General features: G+C 45.2%; 1 non-coding gene across 1 annotated transcript, besides 8 other annotated features; it reads left to right on the forward strand.

Annotated features, from left to right (window-relative positions):
• Positions 4,194 to 4,338: an enhancer, noted in NCBI's record as "145 bp enhancer 72 fragment used in the MPRA reporter construct; PK_construct_3332". NCBI's record gives its function as "activates an SV40 promoter by MPRA in K562 cells {active_cell/tissue: K562}" and the evidence as "EXISTENCE:reporter gene assay evidence [ECO:0000049][PMID:23512712]".
• Positions 4,261 to 4,271: a transcriptional cis regulatory region, noted in NCBI's record as "NFE2L2 motif; enhancer activity is reduced when this motif is scrambled". NCBI's record gives its function as "necessary for full MPRA enhancer 72 activity {active_cell/tissue: K562}" and the evidence as "EXISTENCE:site-directed mutagenesis evidence [ECO:0005528][PMID:23512712]".
• Positions 9,086 to 9,586: an enhancer, noted in NCBI's record as "H3K4me1 hESC enhancer chr1:234724436-234724936 (GRCh37/hg19 assembly coordinates)". NCBI's record gives its function as "activates a minimal SCP1, AML or CMV promoter by ChIP-STARR-seq in naive H9 embryonic stem cells {active_cell/tissue: H9 hESC(naive)}" and the evidence as "EXISTENCE:reporter gene assay evidence [ECO:0000049][PMID:30033119]".
• On the forward strand, positions 13,671 to 13,798 carry LOC124900421 (U8 small nucleolar RNA). Its single transcript, XR_007067353.1, has one exon. It is a non-coding gene; the product is annotated as a U8 small nucleolar RNA (small nucleolar RNA).
• Positions 19,747 to 20,260: an enhancer, noted in NCBI's record as "H3K27ac hESC enhancer chr1:234735097-234735610 (GRCh37/hg19 assembly coordinates)". NCBI's record gives its function as "activates a minimal SCP1, AML or CMV promoter by ChIP-STARR-seq in primed H9 embryonic stem cells {active_cell/tissue: H9 hESC(primed)}" and the evidence as "EXISTENCE:reporter gene assay evidence [ECO:0000049][PMID:30033119]".
• Positions 20,261 to 20,774: an enhancer, noted in NCBI's record as "H3K27ac hESC enhancer chr1:234735611-234736124 (GRCh37/hg19 assembly coordinates)". NCBI's record gives its function as "activates a minimal SCP1, AML or CMV promoter by ChIP-STARR-seq in primed H9 embryonic stem cells {active_cell/tissue: H9 hESC(primed)}" and the evidence as "EXISTENCE:reporter gene assay evidence [ECO:0000049][PMID:30033119]".
• Positions 20,261 to 20,847: a biological region, named in NCBI's record as "H3K27ac hESC enhancer GRCh37_chr1:234735611-234736124".
• Positions 20,318 to 20,847: a silencer, noted in NCBI's record as "silent region_1973". NCBI's record gives its function as "represses an Ori minimal core promoter by ATAC-STARR-seq in GM12878 lymphoblastoid cells {active_cell/tissue: GM12878}" and the evidence as "EXISTENCE:reporter gene assay evidence [ECO:0000049][PMID:35858748]".
• Positions 21,248 to 21,297: a silencer, noted in NCBI's record as "silent region_1974". NCBI's record gives its function as "represses an Ori minimal core promoter by ATAC-STARR-seq in GM12878 lymphoblastoid cells {active_cell/tissue: GM12878}" and the evidence as "EXISTENCE:reporter gene assay evidence [ECO:0000049][PMID:35858748]".

Genomic DNA, 21,327 nt, shown 5'->3' on the forward strand with positions numbered 1-21,327 from the left:
TTTCTTTTCTCCTATGGTCTATGAAGAAACAATTTATAAGGTACCAATATCTCATATCTCTTTTTGTTGTTGTTTAGAGACAGGGTCTCTAAACGCAAACATTACCGAGGTTGGAATGCAGTGGTACGGTCATGGCTCACTGCATCCTCCAACCCCGGGACTCAAGCAAGCCTCCCAAGTAGCTGGGACTACAGGTATGTGCCACCATTCCTTCCTATTGTTTTTATTTTTTGTAGAGACAGGGTTTCCCCCTATGTTGCCCAGATTGGTCTTGAATGTCTTGCCTTAAGCAATCCTCCTACCTTGGCCTCCCAAAGTATTGGGATTACAGGTGTCAGCCACCGCATCTGGCCAATATCTTGTGTCTTAAGAGTTGTACTATTCAAACTATACACAGACCATCAAGAATCCATCAAAAGAGCCAAATGCAAGACAAAATTCCTAGGAAAATGGGACAAACTGGTATTGGAGAAGAAGTATCTGGGGCAAGGAGATAAAATCTCCTGAAAATTGTGTTGACATAAAATTGCAATACACCTAGTACCACTAGGAGGACAAACTACATGCTCTCTGAGGAATATGGCTGTTAGTCAACCTTCACTATACATGTGACCTGAGACCCACACTTCCCATTATGAAGGCAGAAAACCATATTACTTGCTAAAAATGGCTGTAGATTAAACTCATGATATCTTTTCTAGTATGTATTGAAAAATGTTTGATCATTCTGTACCAGAGATTATAGATTCATGGCTCTACTCAAAGTTCTAGAAGGCTAATGAAAAGAGCCAAGTTTATCTATCAAAGGGAAATGAGAAAGATACTTTTTAAGAGGGTGGGCAACTCATGGTTCTTCAGGTACAAGTGAATATGCTTGTCCATTCATACTATACCTATCTTGATGAGGAATTAAGTTCTTGACAGAAAGATAACTTTTGTTTACACTGACACATTTTGGAAGATTCTCAAATGGAAAAATGTAACATAAACTAACACATTGGAGCAGGAGTTACCAGGGTCTTCTGCTATGGTTATCTGATGATAAATATTCATTTATCCATTTACAAACACTATGGAGCACAATGTTAATTACATTACTTTGGACACAAGCAACCTAGACTCTCCCTTCTACTTAAAACAATAGTTTTCCATTGTTCTTAAATTAGAGTGAAACTCCTTAATTTGGCTGATAAGAACATCCAAAATTTAGGATTGCTCCTTTCCCAATCCATCTCTTACCAACTTCCTTTATTTTCTCTTACCCAATCTAACGCATTTGTTTTCCTTTCTAGAGTGTGTGTCTGGCTTGGAGCAGATCCTCTCTCTGCCTGCATACCTCTGCCAATCATTTGGTTGACCAGTTAACTCCCTGTATTAGTCTGTTCTCACACTGGTAATAAAGACATACCCAAGACTGGGTAATGTATAAAGAAAGGAGGTTTAATGGACTCACAGTTCCACATGGCTGGGGAGGCCTCACAATTATGGTGGAAGGTGAATGAGGAGCAAAGTCACGTTTTACATGGTGACAGGCAAGAGAGCATGTGCATGGGAACTCCCTTTTATAAAACCATCACTTCTCGTGAGACTTATTCACTATCATGAGAACAACATGGGAAGAACCTGCCCCCATGATTCAATTAACTCCCACTGGGTCCCTCCCACGACACAAGGGGATTATGGGAGCTACAATTCAAGATGAGATTTGGGTGGGGACACAGCCAAACCATATCACTCCTCCTCACCCTCCAGTCCCAACTCAAACATTTATTTACTCAGCAAGGCCTCTTGTGACTCCCTCTCAATTAGGTGAGATGCTGTATTTTGTGCTCCCATGCTATGTTGTGAGCCTCCATCCTGGTTTCATCCCACTCGTGGTCTTTGTTTATTGCCCATTGGAGCAGGTTGGGCTCCTCTCAGCTGAACCCATGAGTGGGGCAGCTTCTTTTAAAATGACCACGGTCCTGGCTGGCACTGGGACTGGCCCACATAATGCAAATGCCAATCAAGACAAGGGACTGTGGGAACAACCTGAGAGACATCAGCGGTGGACAGAATAGTTTTTGTCTTTTGGGATTTCATCGTCTCTTATAAGGATGGGAAACACACCCTTTAAAAGGTGAAAAGCATGAATGTGCTAAGTAGCAAAAGGCACAGTGAGTGTCTAGAGGTGGGAGACTGTCTGTCTGCACTTGGGGGCCTGCAGAAAGCTGGATGAAGAATTTAGTATTCGTGCTGATTACAGGACAGGTGGAATTTCTACGGCAAGACTCGGTGGATGCCCAGAGGCCCGTGTGGCCGGGTCAGTTAGAAGCAAAGTCTGCGAGGCACAAAAACCTGAAACTTGTGCCAAGAATAGACAATCTCATATTTTGCAGAGTTCATAGGCAGTTAGACATTGATTTTTTTTTTACAAAGAGGAATTGAGTCTAAATATTTTAAAGACTTTTTCATCTAAGGTAACTCTGAGGGCATGTGAATAATGCAAGAATCGAGTTTAGGCTTCCTGTCTCTGTATTCTCTGGAAAGTTTATTTGATATCTTAGTTTTCCCTCATGCTCCTCCAGAATAATTCTCGAATATGTATTAAAAGTCCATGACACAGCAGATAGCCATCTGGCCTCTGAGCCCAGTGTGTTTGTGCGTACGTGTGTGCATGCGTGTGCATGCATGCGTGTGTGTGTATGTGTGAGTGCACACATGAGTGTGTTTGAACACATTGAGATGGAAGGGAGAACAGAGCGAGTGAGTTGTATTTCCAAAGATGGGCAGTGTCTCAGTTCTGACGTGGTCACAACTTTGTGGGGCTGGAGGAGTGCATTACCCTACCGGTGATATCTTAAGCCAGGATTCCCTTTCACCCACTGCAGACAGAGCATAAAAATATCACGGGCAGGCAACTTTCCCAAACAGGGAGAGGCAATTCACTATCATGGACAATGTTGTCTATTGAAATAAAAACAAACTGGGGGCAGGAAGGTTGAACTTAACTGAATGTTTTACCCCAGGTACTTGGAAGGGCAACAGTGCCAAGGTACCTCTGGGAAACCTAGAGGGCCAAGGTGACATCTCACATCCACCCACAGGTGAAGTTCTCCCATTCCTCCCCAGGAGGCTCTGGGGCCAGCCCAGCAGCTGACATCCCCAGGCCCAGGCGGGCCCCTCTCCAACAGACCCCCTCCCTGTCCTCCCTCACCGGTCCCACCCCCTTCCTGCCACAGCCACTGAGGCTCCTTATCCGCTCCTCAACCAGCCTTATTTTCGAGCTACCCAAAAATAACAACATTTGATACGATGGCTCGGAAAGCTTTGGCTGGGGTCATGTTTCCAAATTCTTGACTCAAGTATTGTAAATGAGAACTACTTTTTTTTTTTTCCAGTCAGGCTATTTTTTCCCTCTTTTTTTTTTTCTCTTGAGATGTTGGGCGAACCCCAACCAAGGAATCAGTGCTTAATGGGTCACAGGGTATAAATAGTAGTGTTGAGACCATAACAGAAGGCTCTTTGTACTATCATGCAACTGAACCTCAAAAAAAAAAAGCTTCCAAACAGACCAGCATGGGGCTCTGTGGGGGCGTCTAGCATTGCTGAGCACAAGCTATATTCTATATTTGTCCACTCCAACATTCCACTACCGATATCTATTTATGGCTTTGCCATGTACACAGGATACCCTATTCATTAAATATATGCTCAAAAATGTCAGTCCGTATATATTTTTGTGCTGCTCATAGTTCACAGACATACACTAAGCAAATCCAGTGTGATCTGGATCGCCGGGCTCATGCTCTCAGCCCCTAGCTCTGTAGTCCTTGTTCTTGTTCACATGCAGCAAGGTTTTCTCATCCATAAAATGGGGATAAATGTGCCTGTTCCCTAGAAGTTGGCTCTAAGTGATATGTGGCACTGCTTTGAAAATTAAGAGACAAAAATCTGTGGGCTTCTTTCGCTTTGAGGCACTCTTTAAATATGAGCTATTATCCTAATTAAACTAAATTTTCATCATGGGGTCAGTTTCCTGATGAAGTTAAATGGGATGATCCAAAGTCTCTATTAATTTGCTACCAGTCATTGTATTTGGAGACCCTGGGGGATCCTGAAAATTGATTAATTATGACAGGCCTGATGGTATATTTCTGGGTGATTATGGCAAGCCTTGGATGGTATTATTAGGGATGCCCATTTTTATGTGACAGTGAAATTCATAGGCTTTAACAGAAGTACTATCATCCCACTAGCAGGGACCAGGCTGAAGGGCATGTGACTTAGCAACTGACAAGTGCAATAATTCTCAGAATTTTGTGGCCCAGAATTTGCGCCGGCTACTAAGAACTGGGAGTTTAGAAACAGAAAGTTCAGGTTACAAGCCTACTGGGCAGGAGCTCAAACTCCTGGTTCTGGCAACAGGTCCCGGGCACTCGGGGGTGGGCCAAGGTTCTGACCATTCAGTGTCCTATGTTTAAATTGTGAGACTGTAAGCAAAAAGAAAAAAAAATTATTGGAAGGGTTCTCTTACCTTTTGGAGACAGTAAAATAAAAATCTCCTTTGGCAAAGGGCCTCTTTCTTCTGTGGGCTCTCCTACAGGGCAGCACTGACCTCTGGTCTGCCATGACCCCACCTCTCCAGCTGCCCACACATCCATCTTCCAGTGTGTGTGTGTGTGTGTGTGTGTGTGTTTGTGTGCGTGCGCGTGTGCGCCGTTGGAGGGTGGGGGAAGGAGGGAGTATATTCTTGTTCAAATTGCCAGATTAACCAGAAAATTAGCAGGAAGACAAGGCAGCAAAGTGAAAACTATTCTGTACAGTAGAGGTTCTTCATAGATCATTCGACCTATTAATGAAGTTACCATTTCAGCAGCAGGTATTTGAGTTGAGTTGCCAGGGGAGAGAAGGAAAGAAGGGTATAGGCAACGCTGCTTAGTCCTCGAACTCACACGGAACATGGAGAGCTACATTCTTAGTAATACCAGGGATCGTGCAGTGAGCATTTCCTAGGCAGCAGACACAGTACAACACACTTTACATAGCTCATCTCATTCAATATGTACAAAGTCCTTATGAGACTGGTACTAGCTTATGCCCAGTCTACAAAGGGAACAGAGACTCAGAAACTAATTTGTTCAGGATTAAATAGTGAATCACGTTGTGGACACATAATTCAAATCCATTTTTTTTTTTTAATGCCCAAACCTGGGCTGTTAGCAACTTTGCTAAGCTTCATTCCTTTTCCTGCACCTCTCCCTAAGCCTGCAGCCATGCATCTAGGACTCAGGGATATCTCTGGGTGGGGGTAGAGGTGAAGTCAGGCAGAAGTGTCAGGGATGAAATGTCACAGTGTTATTATAGACCTAAGGACTGGCCCTAGAGGAGGGGGCTCCCATCTCCTGGCTCCTTTCCAAGCTGGTAAGAGCCTGGCAGTCATGCTGGAGAGACAGGGGGGACATCTAAGCTGCTGAATGGAGTTCAAGTCTCCACCACCAGGGAAAGTTCTTCTCTCAGGGTCTTCCTTGCTTTCTCCTTGGACCCAATCTGTCCGCAGGAAGCAGAATTGCTGGAGAGCTTGCCTTTAATTGATGCTTGGTGCTTAAAAGAATGGTATCTGGCCCGCAGCCAGGAACCTCTGCGGGGAGATGTGAGCTTACTCTCTGGAGTCCTCTCTCTCTATGGCATCAATTGATGAAAATAAAATCTGCATTTCGTGACATTACTATATACCCATGAAATAGGATTTAAAAGGGTCCTGATTGGTGAAAATAAAAATGAGTCAGTTCTCATTTGCTCAGTTTTACCCTTCAATTCAAAAAGCCTGTGCTCTGTATCTTAGCCTCTCAGAGGCCACACCAGATTCTTGTACGGTCTGCTCAGCCTCCTCAAACTGCTGTGACAACAGCCCTGGATTCTCGGATACACTGACACATGTTTCTAACCCTCAATCCTGCCACCCTCTGCTTTTGCTCCTCCTGCTGAGAATTCCCAAGGGAAGAGCTCTGAGATCTTGACCCTCTTCAATCCCAGTTCAACACAACATCCCTTTGGTTAATTTCTGAGAAAATATCCCAAGTGGTTATTTCAGATAGTTTTCTTGGACTTACTGCTTCTGTCTTGAGTTCTGAAAGTCTGCGTATCTGTGCCCTCCTGTGTAGGCTGGGAGCTTCTTGAGGGCCTGGCTTCTTTCTTTTTGCCCTGGCACCCAGCATAGTGCCTGGTGCATGTGAATGATAAATCACGCGTGTCGAATGCATGAGTCAGTGGGGGAATGAATGGAAAAGCACTGCTTGGACAGCACAAATACAAAAACGGATCTACAGACTACATAACCAAAAGACTTCTCTACACACACATCCTGAGCACCAAGGAAACTTCTGTTTGGGCTGCTGACCATGAAATCTACTCTGCTTAGTTGCTGTGTTCATCTTCGTCCTCCAGTCTGGACTCTCAGTCTCCCTGACCCAGAACTCCTCGGCCCCAGCTCTGCTCAGCCCGACCTGGACCCTCGGCAACCTGGTCCGTTTCCTGTCTGATGTTCTTTAACATCACCCACTACCACTCTTGGCCAACTCTGGAGGTAGGGGGAGGAGAGGAAGATCTTCTTCTGCCTTGCGGCATGTCCCGGCATAACAGAAAGTCATTCTTATATGCTCATCTAGGCATTTAGACTTCTTCCAAGATTGGGTGGTGCTTCCATTCTCATAAACGACCCACATTTGCAACCTTGGAGTCATCGTTGAAGCCCCCTTCTTGTCCATGCCCTTAAACAGGTCAGATTCTGAGTCGTATCAGCCCCTTCTTTGAAATGTCTCATCTGCTCCTTCTCTGCTGCCATCCTGGTCCAGTTGCTCAGAATTGGGTTATCTTACTGGCCTGTTGGCAGCCTTAATCCTATCCCCGCCTTGTTCCAGGGTCAGCTGCCTGACTTGCCACTGTCATCATGGGCCACACTGAATTCTTGGCCCCTCCCTGTGCATGAGTTTCTGGGCCCCTGGAAGTTTCATCTTATCCTATTTACTTCCCATCACGTAGACAGTCCTTCATGCTTCCCAAAATATAGGATGCTAATTTCTGTCTCTTTGTCCCACCGCTCATGTCCCTCCTCTCAGGTCTCACTTGAGTCTGTCTTCTCCATGAAAACTTCCTTTTCCCTTTCACTCCCCTCTGTAACCACCATGCACCCCTAATCCAAATCCTACCGCTCCACACCTGCATGCGTACTATCTTACACTGGGTTCATAATTGAGTGTGCATTAGCTTGAAATTGCCAAATAGGCTCATAAGTTCTTTGGGAACAGAATGTGAATCTTAACTTGTGTTTCTCGCGGTACCTGCTGGAGAGAAGAACTTACATATTATTATGCTTGGGTTCATGATTGACTAACCTTTGCTGAAGAAAATTGGGGAAAGTGTTAGTTCACAAACATTATACATATTTTGCTTGGGAAAAATGAGGGCTTGCAATGGGGATTTTGTTGACATTGGCTGCTGCTGCTACTTTCATTTCTGCTTTTTCTTTCTCCTTCTCTTTCTCCTTTTCCTTCGTGTTAATCAAATCTCTCTCTCTCTCTCCAGTCCTTTTGCTGTAGGCTATAAGACTGTTGGATCATAATAACAATCTAAAATCTCCAGTACCACACACGTAGGAGGCACACAATAAATGTTTGTCAAATGACTTAATCCATGAAATATTTTATATCTAGAATCCTTAAAATCCCATAGCAGTGGCTGGGCGTGGGGTTCACGCCTGTAATCCGAGCACTTTGGGAGGCCAAGGGCGAGCAGATCACGAGGTCAGAAGTTCGAGACCAGCCCGGTCAACATGGTAAAACTCCGTCTCTACTAAAGATACAAAAAATTAGCTGGGCATCATGGCATGTGCCTGTAATCCCAGCTACTCAGGAGGCTGAGGCAGGAGAATCGCTTGAACCTGGGAGGTGGAGGTTGCAGTGAGCCGAGATTGTGCCACTGCACTCCAGCCTGGGCAACAGGGTGAGACTGTCTCAAAAAAAAAAAAAAGAAAAAGAAAAATCCCATAGTGGTTAAGCCAAATACCTCCTTTGTTTTTAATTCCTAAACCCAGAGCTTTCAATGTTTGAGTATCCTAAGCACTACATCCATTTCTATGTGTTTCTCTATTCGCTCCTCTTTCTTCCACTTCTATTCTGCTCTATCCAATTTTCTGCTATCCTCTTAACAGTGATTATTTGGCTTTCAAAACATCCTCTCATGAAATAAAGTTCCATGATTATTAATTGCAATTGTTGGACATTATCATATTTGCTATAGCAAGAGATAATCCATGAAGATTAATCAGTGTGAAATGTGCAATTTATGAAATGACCTTTATATACCCTAAGGAAAAAAAATTAACACATTAATAGAGATGAGTTTGCTGGTGCATTTGTTACTAGACTCTCCAAAGGTGATCATACATATTTCTAGAAATCACCTTGCCTTCGGAATTGGAGCCCCAGATTCAAGGTATGTGTGGTCTCTCATGTTTCCCCTAAACCACACTGTATTGAATTTGAATAATCAACCTGCATGTATAACGGGGCTGTCAATGAGAGTTAATTAATAATGTCACATGGCAGGACATTGCATGTTGTTGAATCACACTGCTACCTGCCACAGTAGAACTGAGGGACCTATGTGAGTGCCCCTTGAGAAAACCTAAATAAAAATCAGGAAGAGGAAATAGAAATATTCCATTGACTATTTAGGTCCATGCATAGATAGTATGTATTTTAAAACTAAATAATTTATGTTTTCTTTGTGATAGCGATTCCACATTTTATTCAGCATAGCAATCATGACAATTGATTCATAAAAGCAACATTGCCCAATCAATGGACTAGAAATACAGTCACTGTGAATATAAATTCTTTCCTCTTCTAACGATCCCAAGCTAATCATTTCAGCTCTTCTGGCTCGTTTTCCTGATTAAACCAGGAGAATAAAGACAACAGTAACATGTGACTCCTACATTAGCAAGCTAAGCATGAAGAATGAGTATAAACCCGTCTGTAAGCAAAGGGGTTTGGGGGATTTGTATAATCCATTCCATGGCACGTCTTAACTAATATTCCCTGTACTGATAAGGCCAAAAAAAAAAATGTAACTCTCAAATAGCAAAAAGAAGAAAATGGGATTAGAGTTAGATCAGCTTCACTTTATAACTATAAATAATTTAAAGCAAGTCGCTCGGCTTTGCCTCAGTTTTCTGTTCTGTAAAAGTGTTTCTTAGAGGCGGTTATGAGGATTAAATGACCCGACAGAGGCAAAACAGCTTTGTAAACCATAAATCATTTTGTTCGGAGTCAACAGGATGACTTTTTCCCCTCACACAATTTAGAATTATGTACCTGTTGAGGTAGCAACGCCCTCGTTTAATCCCAGCCATGTTTGGTCCCCAAATGCCTCTCTCACTCGCCCAGAGTGATACTGAGGCCACAAAAAGCTCTGCTGTTTTTTTTTTCTCGTGGTCTTTCTCAATTCCAACGTGGTACACAGGTACCTGGCGTGTGTCTGCTCAGACAGTGGATGGCCCTTGTTCAAAGACTGATGGGAACACCTAGTGTACGAGGTGGCGCCGGGGCCGCCCACACCAACAGGCCGTGTGCTCCCATCTCACTGTGCACGAGGAACCGGTGTGCTTTTCGGCCAGGCTGCATCACCCTCCCTCCCTTGGCTTTCTGTGTGACGTGCCTGTGCCAGAGACTGCAGTGGCAGCACAGTAAAGAGGGAAGAGGCCTAGAGAGAGGGCGGGGTGGAGGAGGCATTTTACAACTTGCTAAGATGTGTCTTCCCACCTCAGTTGTTGGTTTTTTAAACAAAAACAAACTACAGATCAAAAATCTCAAAGAACCCCCTCTTCTGGGCTGCCCCAACTTGTCTCTAAGCCACCTTCTTCCTTCATTCTTTGTCCCTGCCAAGCCACTAATCAGAACAGCGTGAATCATGCACCTCAGCTCTGGGTGGCTCCCAGCAACATCCCAGATCCCGCAGTTGTAAAGCCAGCTGCTAGGAGTTTAATCCTGTTGAGGTGAGCACTCCCTGTGTCAGAGGGAGGGGCAAACAGATCAGGGACAAGGACATCTGAAGTGAGCACATGTCCACCAGCCACGACCCCACTCTGCCATGCTGTACTGATACTGCCCTGATATCCACACAGGGAACACCCTTCTTTCCAGGCAGCCCTGCTTTGGAGGCTGATGTGGAGTACTAAGTTTATCTCCCAATATCCAGGCCATTCCTCAGCCACTGTGCAGCAACCATTTATTGTGGTGGGACTGATCCTACTCCCAATTGCAGGGAAAGACTCCTAACTAGATGCCAGTCAGGGCAATCCCATGCCTTTGCCCTGGGATTGGTTAGGGCATGGGCAGACCTGAGCCAATCAGAGCAGAGCTTTTCCTTGCCCACGATGATGATGTCGGGACTGAGCCAATCAGAGGGAAGCTTGGGACTTGTTCTAAAAGGAATGCTCTGCCCTCTTTCCTCTTGGATGTGAAAGAGAAAGTGCATCATCCTGTAAGCAGGAGGGAAGCCTGCCTGAAGATAGTATCAACATAGTGAAGGTACAGACACGAGAATCAGAGAGAGAAGATGCTTAAACCTTAAGCAAGTCAGACCTAGGGTCTACCTGACTGTAGATTTTATTAGTTCCCAGAGCCATTAAGTTCCCTTTATAGTTTAAGCCTATTTGAGTAGGATTTTCTGTGATTTTTGCCCTTGAAAGCATCGCAACTGGTAGAGGCGTCATTGTCTGGGGATGGAAAAGGAAACTTGGAAAGTGGCCATGATGGTTAATGTCATGTGTCAGCTTGGCTAGGCTATGGTGCCCAGTTGGCCAAACACCAGTCGAGATGTTGCCTTGAAAGTATTTTAAAATGTAATATTTAGATCAGTAGACTTCAAGTAAAGCAAATTACCCTCCATAATGTAGATGGACCTCATCCAATCAGCTGAGGACCTTTAAAACAAAGACTGAGGTTTCCTGAAGAAGAAGGAACGGGACCTCAAGTTTACAGCATAAATGTCTTGCTTAAGTTTCTAGCCTGCAGATTTTCAGACTGAAGACTGCAGCATGAACTCCACAACAAAATTCCAGCATGCTGGCCTGCTCTACAGATGTTAGACTTTCCAGTCTCCACAATCACATCAGCCAATTCCTTAAAATCGGTCTCTCTCTTTCTCTATCCTATTGGTTCTGTATATTAGTCAGGCTCTGGAGAGCCCTGACTTATACAGTGGCACCAAACTTGTTTACTAGGAAGGGACAGGCACTGGTTCAACTGATTTGGTGGCAAAATCTGATTTGGGAGATGATGGGCTGGGATGAGGTGCAGCAACCTAAGCTCCAAGAGTCTCAGACACAGTCCAGAAAGTGGTTGGCATCATGGAGCCCAAGATGAAGTAGCAGAGACTCAACAGGAAGCCATAGTATGGTGACAGGGAAACTGGACAGAACACCATCCCCTAGGAGATGCTGGGAAGAAAACAAGGCAAGCAGCAGAGTCCTCTTCGCTGTACTGGGGCTTATGGTAGATCTCCAGTCCTAGAAGAGACCTAAGGATGTGGGGACCGGGCAACCAAATAGAGCCTAGGCATAGGCCAAGGCACAGTCCTGTCCCATGGACTTGCCCGACATGGGTCCAGAGAGAGAAGAAGTAGCTAAGAGGTGTGATCTAGGGGCCTGGAGCCACCTAGAAGCCTTTCCTAAGGACAGTAGCCCTGGGGCTTGGCAGGGAAGGAAACCCAGGGAGCCACAAGGGAACTCAGAGCTACAAGATGATCTTGGGACTGGAAGAGGTCCCTCAAAAGTCCACTTCATGCTTGGGTTAGCCTGGGGACTGGGGCGGATGTGAGCCTTCATGGTGGGACCTGGGAGCCCAAAGCAAAGGAGTTTCAGTGTCTCTTCCTCTACGAACCCGTCCCCCTTGCTACCTCACTTCTGGCAGAGTGACTATATCTTCCCTATGCCCCCATGGTGTCTTATAAACGCATTTATTATGGCTCAAGGAAGACAAAGCAGGTAGGCCATAGCTCCCATCTTAGCAATCTTACATTGAGTCTTGACCACACATTGAAATGAGACACTCATTTGTATAGGCCCCCAATTAGTAGCAGAGGTATTTCAAATCTCTTGTCAGATATGCCCAAAGGAACCAGCCTCCTTCTGTTTCTATATTCAGACTTTGTCTCTGGTGGCCTTTCTATGGGGACTAAAGTAAAGGGCAGCAGGTCTTCCCAGCCTTGCTAGGAGGAAGGCTGTGGTCTCTTCTGGTGCCTTTGACCTCCTGGCTCCCACTGTGGACCTCATGGCAAACTTGAGCAGAGCATTTCTGCAAGGCAGTGCAGAAACGTGACCCAGTGACTTATAACTGCACAAAAGCCATGAGAACCAGCTCACAGAAAAGGCGGCATCCTCAGGACGAGCTTAGGATTCGGAAGAACTGTGTTGGATACATATCTCAGGTGGTCAGAGAAGAGTTCATCAGTCATCTTGATATTTGTAAAAATGTTGTGTAAGAAAAGCAGGTTCCCAACTTCATCACTAAAGCAAAGCTCGCGTAGAAAATCCCAAGTTAGACAATAAAAGTCAGCATTTTTATGTTACTTAAGAGTTCGCAGAGCGTTTTCATGCTCATAATTCTATAATATAAGCATTAGCGTTCCCTCCATAGCTAGGGTGTGATGAGTGATATATACATTTAGTTAATTTAGCATAAAACTGACCTTAGCCCTGGCTGCCAGGGAGAGACGGAACCAAAACTAAAGCAGCCTTCGAATCCTCCAAACCAACCTCTCTCTGACTCCTAGAACATGGCGCCCTTTCTTGCTTCTCTTCCCCATAGCCAAAAAGGGACCAGAGCTCCCCACAGTGGGGCTTGTAGGAGCCTGAACAGAGCAGAGGCACGCAGACTTGCAACTGAAGACTTAGAGCAGAGTCTGCAGAGCACAAACAGGACAGAGGACCAGAAATCCATTACCACTGGAAGTGGTGGGGTTGGGTTCCACCAAGTAGGGGTCTGGAGAGGGGTCTCTGAAGCTTGAGGGTGTTAAATAGTCATTTAAAGAAGATTGGCCAGGCGCTGTGGTTCACACCTGTAATCCCAGCACTTTGGGAGGCCGAGGCAGGTGGATTGCTTTGAGTTCAGGAGTTCAAGACCAGCCTGGGCAACATGGCAAAACCCCGTCTCTACTAAAAATACAAAACTTAGCCAGGTGTGGTGGCATGTGCCTATAGTCCCAGCTACTCGGGAGGCTGAGGCTGGAGAATCTCTTAAACCCAGGGGGCAGAGGCTGCAGTGAGCCGAGATCATGCCACTGCACTCCAGCCTGGACGACAGAACGAGTCTCCATCTGGTTAAAAAAAAAAAAAAAAAAAAAAAAACAAAAAAAAAACTATCAGAGGAACTCTATCCACAGAAGACCTGAGTGGGAAGGCTGTGTGAGAGGAAGAGCAGGTGAGGTTAAGTCACCTTCCCAGAACTCTGATGCTTCCTGCTTTGGGATAAATAATAAGACCCCACATATATTATATCACAGACTCAAGGAGACTTTGCACATTGCTTCATTTAACCCTCACAATGAATTTAAGAAACAGGTACTATTATTATTCCCATTCTACAGATGAGGAGACTGAGGTTTAGAGACATCAAAGAACTTATCCATTGTCAGGTGGGATAATCCTTACCTATGTTTGGAGGACAGTATTAGGACATAATGATTGGAGTCACATGATATGATTAATGTCTGCTTCATAATCAGGTCTCACACACCCTGATTGCTCCTATCTGATTCTTCCTGACAATCTCTTAAAGAACAAAACGTAGGCCGGGCGCCGTGGCTCACGCTTGTAATCCCAGCACTTTGGGAGGCTGAGGCGGGCGGATCATGAGGTCAGGAGATCGAGACCATCCTGGCTAACATGGTGAAACCCCATCTCTACAAAAAATACAAAAAATTAGCCGAGCGTGGTGGCAGGCGCCTGTAGTCCCAGCTACTGGGGAGGCTGAGGCAGGAGAATGGCATGAACCCGGGAGGCGGAGCTTGCAGTGAGCCGAGATTGTGCCACTGAACTCCAGCCTGGGCGACAGAGTGAGACACTTTTTCTCAAAAAAAAAAAAAAAAAAGATAAATAAAAGAACAAAATGTATTTCCAAGGACACACAGCTAAGCTATGGTGGAGCTGGGATTTGAAAGCAGTCAGGCCTTTAGCCATGACACTGTTCTATGTCCACTTAGCAGAATCTTTCAAAACACAAAGAACTGCTGCTAACATGCTCCTAAGACTACCCAAGAAGCTGTTAAGTGAGTCTTGCCCTACCCGCACCGCCCTCTGTCTCTTCCCATGCCAGAAGGTGGAAGACCACAGTGACTGATCAGATGGCAGCAGCACCCACCTGTGACCCAGCAATCAGAATCAAGTCCCACCACTGTTGCAGGCTGAGCCTGAGCAAAGCAGTCCCTGCCACAAGGAGAACTGCTTCTTGCCTACTTTCTCCTGCTTTACCTTAAATCCCCCTAAACTCTGCACCTGTAAAAGCATCTCAAGACACATCACCCTTCTGATTGGGACTTTGATGTGGTTACCATACGCCCTCTGACTGCTTCTTTCTGTTTTTTTTTATCCAGGTCTGTCTGTGCGGACCCTCTGTCCTGGCTGAACAGCATTTGTGGGGTCCCTGTGTTTGCTCAACATCCCAAAGCCCCCTTAATTTTAGATCCGCTGAGCTCTGCTCTTTCTCTATCCTGCCTGGCCAGCCCCACCTCATGGCTGCTAGCCTCAGCATTCTCTCCCGAGGTAGACTGATTGGGTTTCCATTGTATCTTATAAATACATTGTTATGGCTCTTTTCTTATTTTCCATTACTTCTCACCATATTTCCCTTGTTGAGATTAGAAACTAAATTTATTCCTTTAACAAATATTTACAGCACACATGATCATGACAGTGGGTGTACTAGTCCGTTCTCTCATTGCTACAAAGAACCACCTGAGATGGGATAATTTATAAAGAAAAGAGGTTTAATTGGCTCACAGTTCTGTAGGCTGTACAGGCAGCATGGCTGGAGAGGCCTCAGGAAACTTAGAATCACAGCAGAAGGCAAAGAGGAAGCAGGCATATCTTACGTGGCGGGAACAAAAGGAAGAGAGAGACAAGGGGGAGGTGCTACACACTTTCAAACAACCAGATCTCGTGAGAACTCTATCACGAGAACAGCAAGGGGGATGGCACTAAACCATCAGAAACCATCCCCCATGATCCAGTCACCTCCCACCAGGCCCCACCTCCCACACTGGGAATTACAATTCAACATGAGATTTAGGTGGGGACACAGAGCCACACCATATCATTTGGGGTCACTTTGCCCTTCCTCATAGAGTTTATGGCAGCAGTCCCCAACCTTTTTGGCACCAGGGACTGGTTTCATGGAAGACAGTTTCTCCATGGACCTGACAGGAAAGGGGTTAATGGTTTGGGGATGAAACTGTTCCACCTCGGATCATCAGGCATTAGACTCTCATAAGCAGTGCACAACCCAGATCTTTTGAACGTGCAGTTCACAATAGGGTTCATGCTTCTATAAGAATCTAATGCCGTGGCTGATCTGACAGGAGATGGAGCTCAGGAGGTAATGCTCGCTCACCTGCCGCTCACCCGCCGCTCACCTGCCGCTCACCTCCTGCTGTATGGCCTGGTTCCTAACAGGCCATGGACCCATATGGGGCTGCAGGCTGGGGGTTGGGGATCCCTGCTCTACCGAATGCAGGGCCTAGGGTCTGGGGAGACAAAAACTTACAAATTAGTAAATAATATATAACATCTGATGAGACAAAGTACTAGGAAGAAAAATAAAAGAGGAACAGAGACTATAGAATGTGGAGTAGCTTAGCATGGATAATTTTATATAGTGTATCAAATATATTATGATAGCTGAATAGTGGCCCCCCAAGATGTCTCTGTCCTAATCTTCTGAACCTGTGAATATATGAAGTCACATGGTAAAAGGGATTTTGCAGATGTGATTAAATCAACCATTTTGAAATGAGATCATCCTAGAACTGCTTAGCTGGGCCCCATATAATTACAAGGATCCTCGTAAGGAGGCAGGAAGAGCAGTGATGATGGAAGCAGGAACTGGAGTGATTCAAGGAAGGGACCACAAGCCCAGGAATGCAGGTGGCCTCTAGAAGCTGAAAAGGCAAGGAAGTGGCATCTCCCCTGAAGCCTCCCGAGGAAACCAGCCCTGCCGACATCTTAATTTTAGATCATGGCATCCAGAACTGTAAGATAATCATTTGGTGTACTTTTAATTCACTGTTTGTGGGACGTTGTTATAGGAGCAAGAGGATGCTAATAGAGGGTGGTCAGGGAAGATCAGGGGACTGATCAGGGAAGATCACTCATCAGGGGACCTTGGCATAGAGACCTGAAGGAAATGAGGGAATGAGCTATGCATACATCTGAGGGAAGAGCATTCCAAGCAGAGAAGAGCCATGAGGTGGGAGCATGCTTAGCAAGGTCAAGGAATGCCAGGAAGCTGGCGTGGCTAGCATGAACAAGGATAGGAGCCATGTCTGGGAAATAGCATTGCCTTGATGGCCATTGTAAAGACTTTGGATTTGACTCTGAAGGAGATAGAAAGGCAAGAAAAGGATTTGAGCAAAGGAGAAACAAGATCAGATGAATATTTTTAGGGTTTATTCTGGCCGATGAACTGAGAATAAGTTGCAGAGGACAAGGGCAGAAACGGGAGGAACAGTCTGGAAGACTCTGCAACACCCTAGACAAGAAATGATGGCGGTGTCTAGTAGGTAGTGAGATGTGGTCAGATTCTGAATATATTTTGAAGGTAGAACCAAGAGGATTTGCTGATAGACTGGATGGAGAATGGCTGAGAAAAAATCCAAGTGAAAGACCACTCTAAGGTCTATGGCTCAAACAACTAGAAGATGGAACTGCCATTTTGTAAAATGGGAAAGACTGAAAGGGGACTGTGGTGCGGTGGTGTTGGGCGAGGGTGGGAGGGAGATCAGAAGTTCAACTTCAGACATATAAATGTGAGACGTCAATTAGATATTCAAGCGAACAACTGAGTAGGTAGCTGGATATACCAGGCTGGCACTCAAGGACGGAGGTCTAGGCTAGAGAAATAAATCTGAGAGTAAGCATATAATGTTATTTTAAAACCATATTTCTGGATGAGATTGCAGGGAGTAAGTGTAGACAGAGAGAGAGGAAAAAAAAAAACCATCTGAGGACTAAGCTTAGGGGCACTCCAACAAGTGAGACGATGAGGAATCAGTGAAAGAACAGCCAGTGAGGTTGCAGAATGAAGAAAGTGGTCTCTGGAAGCAAACTGAAGATACTGTTTCTTAATACCTTTATATTTAAGGTTAGAAAGAGGTGGAGCTGGAAGTTAAGAGTAAGCCGTCTGACCCCAGAGGCCATGTTATTTATCATGAGATATATGTGGGGAGTGAAAGAGCAAGTGAACCAATGAACAAATAAGTGAATGAATGAATGGCTATGGCCAGATGTTGGTTCCTTCATGTAATTTTTCCTCTCCAATCTCTCAACTCTTGCACATGCCATCTCTTTTCCTTTCATATTTGTTTATTTAACAATAAATATTGTTATTTATTTTAAAGTGTTTGTAGACATGGTGTCTCACTATGTTGCCCAGGCTGGTCTCAAGTGATCCTCCCACCTCGGCCTCCCAAAGTGCTAAGGTTACAGGTGTGAACCACCACATCCAGCATCTTTTCCTTCTTAACTGCTTACAATTCATCTTGTTCACGAAGAGTTTCAACCTAATTCCATCCATGTCCTCAACCCCTCAGCAAACATGGCCTAGATGAAGGATCTCTGGCTTGGTCTGGTCATTCCTTGAGACTCAGCTCAGCCAGTATTTGTTACTGAGACCTTGAATCATTTCTTTCCAGTGCTACAAATTTTGAGGCTGACAAACCCAACTCTTCATGACCTCTGAAGACTTATTCATGAATCCAGTGGCTCCTGTGTAAAGAAATATGATTTACAAGAAAATTAAATGATTTTTTTACAAACACAACGTTTTTACCAAGGCCAAAATCCAATGAAGATGCTCTTATTTCCCATTATACATCATTTTTATTGATTCCTTATTTAAACAAACCTTAACAAAAATGAAATATGTTCAAACATATTTTCAACCCACTCACCTCCAGCTGCTACCAGCCACACATATACCATCCTTGCTTTTAAAGTCATAAATGGAGTGAGGTAGACCATTTTGGTGGTTCATAGGCAGGCTGAGCCTTGAGTAAATGAATCTGAGCATAGGGTGTTTCAAGAAAAATATGCATATTCTTTTTTTGTGATATTTTTAGTTCCAATGAAACTATACATCCTCCAAGGTGATGATAACTTCGAGAATCTTCTGGTACTGTGATTGAAACCCAGTGAGTACTCTAGCTACAAGACACTGGCCTGAGACAATGCATTTTCTGTGATGACAGCAGGGGGAGCCCCTTCTCTCCAGTGTTTCAAAGCGATTTGCTATTATTCTGTTTAATATAATAACTGAAAGTCTCTATTTTGGGTGGTAGGCACTCACTGTGCCCAATCACCTAATGATGCCCTGTATGACAGCACCTTCTCATGTCTGGTTGATAAATGAAAAACCAGAAATCTGTCATAGAAATTACCTAATTTGATATTTTAGCCCCCTCTGAGGCAAGTACATCATATATATATATATATATATATATTTTTTTTTTTTTTTTTTTTTTTTAAGACAGAGTCTCACTTTGTCGCCCAGGATGGAGTGCAGTGTGGCGATCTCGGCTCATTGCAACCTTCGCTTCCCAGGTTCAAGTGATTCTCCTGCCTCAGCCTCCCAAGTAGCTGGGATTACAGGCATGCACCACGGCGCCCAGCTAATTTTTGTATATATAGTAGAGACAGGGTTTCACCATGTTGGCCAGGCTGATCTCAAACTCCTGACCTCAGGTGATCCACCCGCCTCGGCCTCCCAAAGTCCTGGGATTACAGGCGTGAGCCACTGTGCCTGGCCTATATTTTTTTTTAATAATTGCAAAACAGACACAAAAGCTAATTGAATTACCTGAGATGACTGCGCAAGTCCCAAGAACATCTGGAGATTTCCTGACCTTTATTCTAGTGGTTTTATCTGGGGGCAGAACTGGACAATTCTGAGGTGTTTTCAGAAAACCTTGAATTTGCATCTCTCAGCATAGTTCCCTCTCAAAGGTCTTTGTGAAGGAGCAGAGCCACTGAAATTGCATTGCTGCTGTGTTAAAAACAGCCACAGGAAAAGAGCAAGAATAATTTCCTAGGAATTGCATTTCAACCCGGAAAAGCTTCCAGATTCCTCAGTAACATATATAAAGAGCAGAGTGCATTGCATGATTTCCATCTCAAACTTCTAAATGGTTTTTGTGCCTATTATCTAGAAAGAAAAATATGTTGGTGAAGGAAGTCTTTGGGTAGGGTTGTGTCTAGGAATTCACAAGCCTGAAGCAAGGCTTTTTTTTTTTTTTCTAGCCTCCTATCCATTCACCGGTTCATTCACTTTTAAACAATCACTAAAACTATTACACAATACTTATTCCACAATCTAGTTGCTACTTCTGGTAGCCAGCACCCTGCCCCCCCAACTCCAAGGCTGGTGATGGAGAAATAGTTTAATGTCAGTTTTTTAAAGTGACAGGGGTCATGCTGTTCATTTTTTGAGAAAATACTGCAGAGTATTAAAGGGAATAATTAATAAAAATTAGCAGTTAACTAATTGGGTAGAACCTCAGGTGCACAACAATGCTATGATCAAAGAAAAACTTTTTTCTTCAAATTTAAATAAAAGTTTCTTGATAGAAAGTAAACTCATTTTCAGGCAGTCAGTTGTTAACAGTACTCTGGGCAGTTCCCATAGGGGCATGTCCTGAGGTTTGCTTAATAAATACATTTTTATTAGCATGCACCATCCATTAGTGCTAACACAGATGCTTCTTAAACACGCGTGTTTACTTCACCAGCACGGAACATTTGGCTTATTATAGCTGCAGCCAAAAAAAAAAAAAAAAAGCAGCATCATGATTTCCAAAAAGGGAGTGACATTTGATTTGGGGCAGCTCTTGTCATGCGCCATCTCCAACTTAGAAAATCCACCCTGTACAGCCCGGCCCGCGTCAGGGACCCTTGCAGGCGGCAGCCACGGCTGCTGCTGACGCGCGTTTGATCTTTTCTGGGCCACCGAGGGCTCGCCACACCCCTGCTCTGGCGCGCACGTTCCTCGCTCGGCCTCGCCCAGCAGGAGCCAGACCTTTTACTTTATTTGGTTCACCACGCGGTCTCTGCTCCAGAGAGCGCGCCGGCGGCGGCGCACTCGGGCCCTCGCGCGCACTCGCACATTCTTCCCCGGGAACGCGGGCGGGGGGCGCGAGGAGGTGGCCGGGCCCGGGCTGCGGTCCCTCTAATTATAGCCCGGCAGCTGGCGCGCTGGCTTGGCCTGGCGCTCGGGGCCAGGACTGGGCGGCGGAGCGGAGGGGCGGGGCGCACCGGGCCGTTTCCCGTTTCCGGGCCCGCGCCCCGCCCCGTCCCGTCCCGTCCCGTTCCGTTCCGTTCCGCCCCGCCCCGCCCCGCCCCGCCCGGGGTCGCGCGGCTCCACGTGCGCAGAGCCGGGCGCGCGGAGACTGCGCTGCTCCAGCCCGGGAAAAGTTCTAGAATAGAGGCGCGGCGCAAGTCAGGGGGCCGCCTTGGAAACCGCAGCAAGGGCTCCTTGTGGGCTCCAGGCTGTTGGAGAGTGAGGGAGCCTCCTCCCCTTTCCTTCCCGTGGAGTAAACAGAGCTTGGCAGGGCTGGAGGCTTTCTTCCTTTTAAAAAGTGCCATTCTGAACAACGATACAAAGTGAAAAAATAAATTTTTTAAAAAAGAAAGGGAAAAACTACAATTTGACCATTCTGACCAGCCTCCTTGTTCCAACTGGCCTCTTGATTTGTATAAAGATAATGGGGTCCGGCGGCCCCCTTGATGCATGAATTGCACGCTGGGCATAATGAACTTATTGTGCGAAAGCACTTTGGACTTCGGACTGTGTTCCTATGTCAGAATTTTACTGTGGTTTGTAAGATAAACTGGAAGGAAACAAACTCGTGGTTAACTCTTGTCAATACGTGTCTTGAACCAAGCAAAGTGACATTTCCTACCTGTGGCTTTGACTTTAAGCTGCACAAAAGGTAGGAGCTAGCCTCTCAGCTGTTCAAAGCCTAGAATGAGATGCCTGCTTAGTAGGTGTTAAATTATAACAGCAACAACCCATATGG

This window comes from Homo sapiens, chromosome 1, assembly GCF_000001405.40.
Source record: "Homo sapiens chromosome 1, GRCh38.p14 Primary Assembly".
In the NCBI taxonomy this organism is placed as follows: Eukaryota; Metazoa; Chordata; class Mammalia; order Primates; family Hominidae; genus Homo; species Homo sapiens.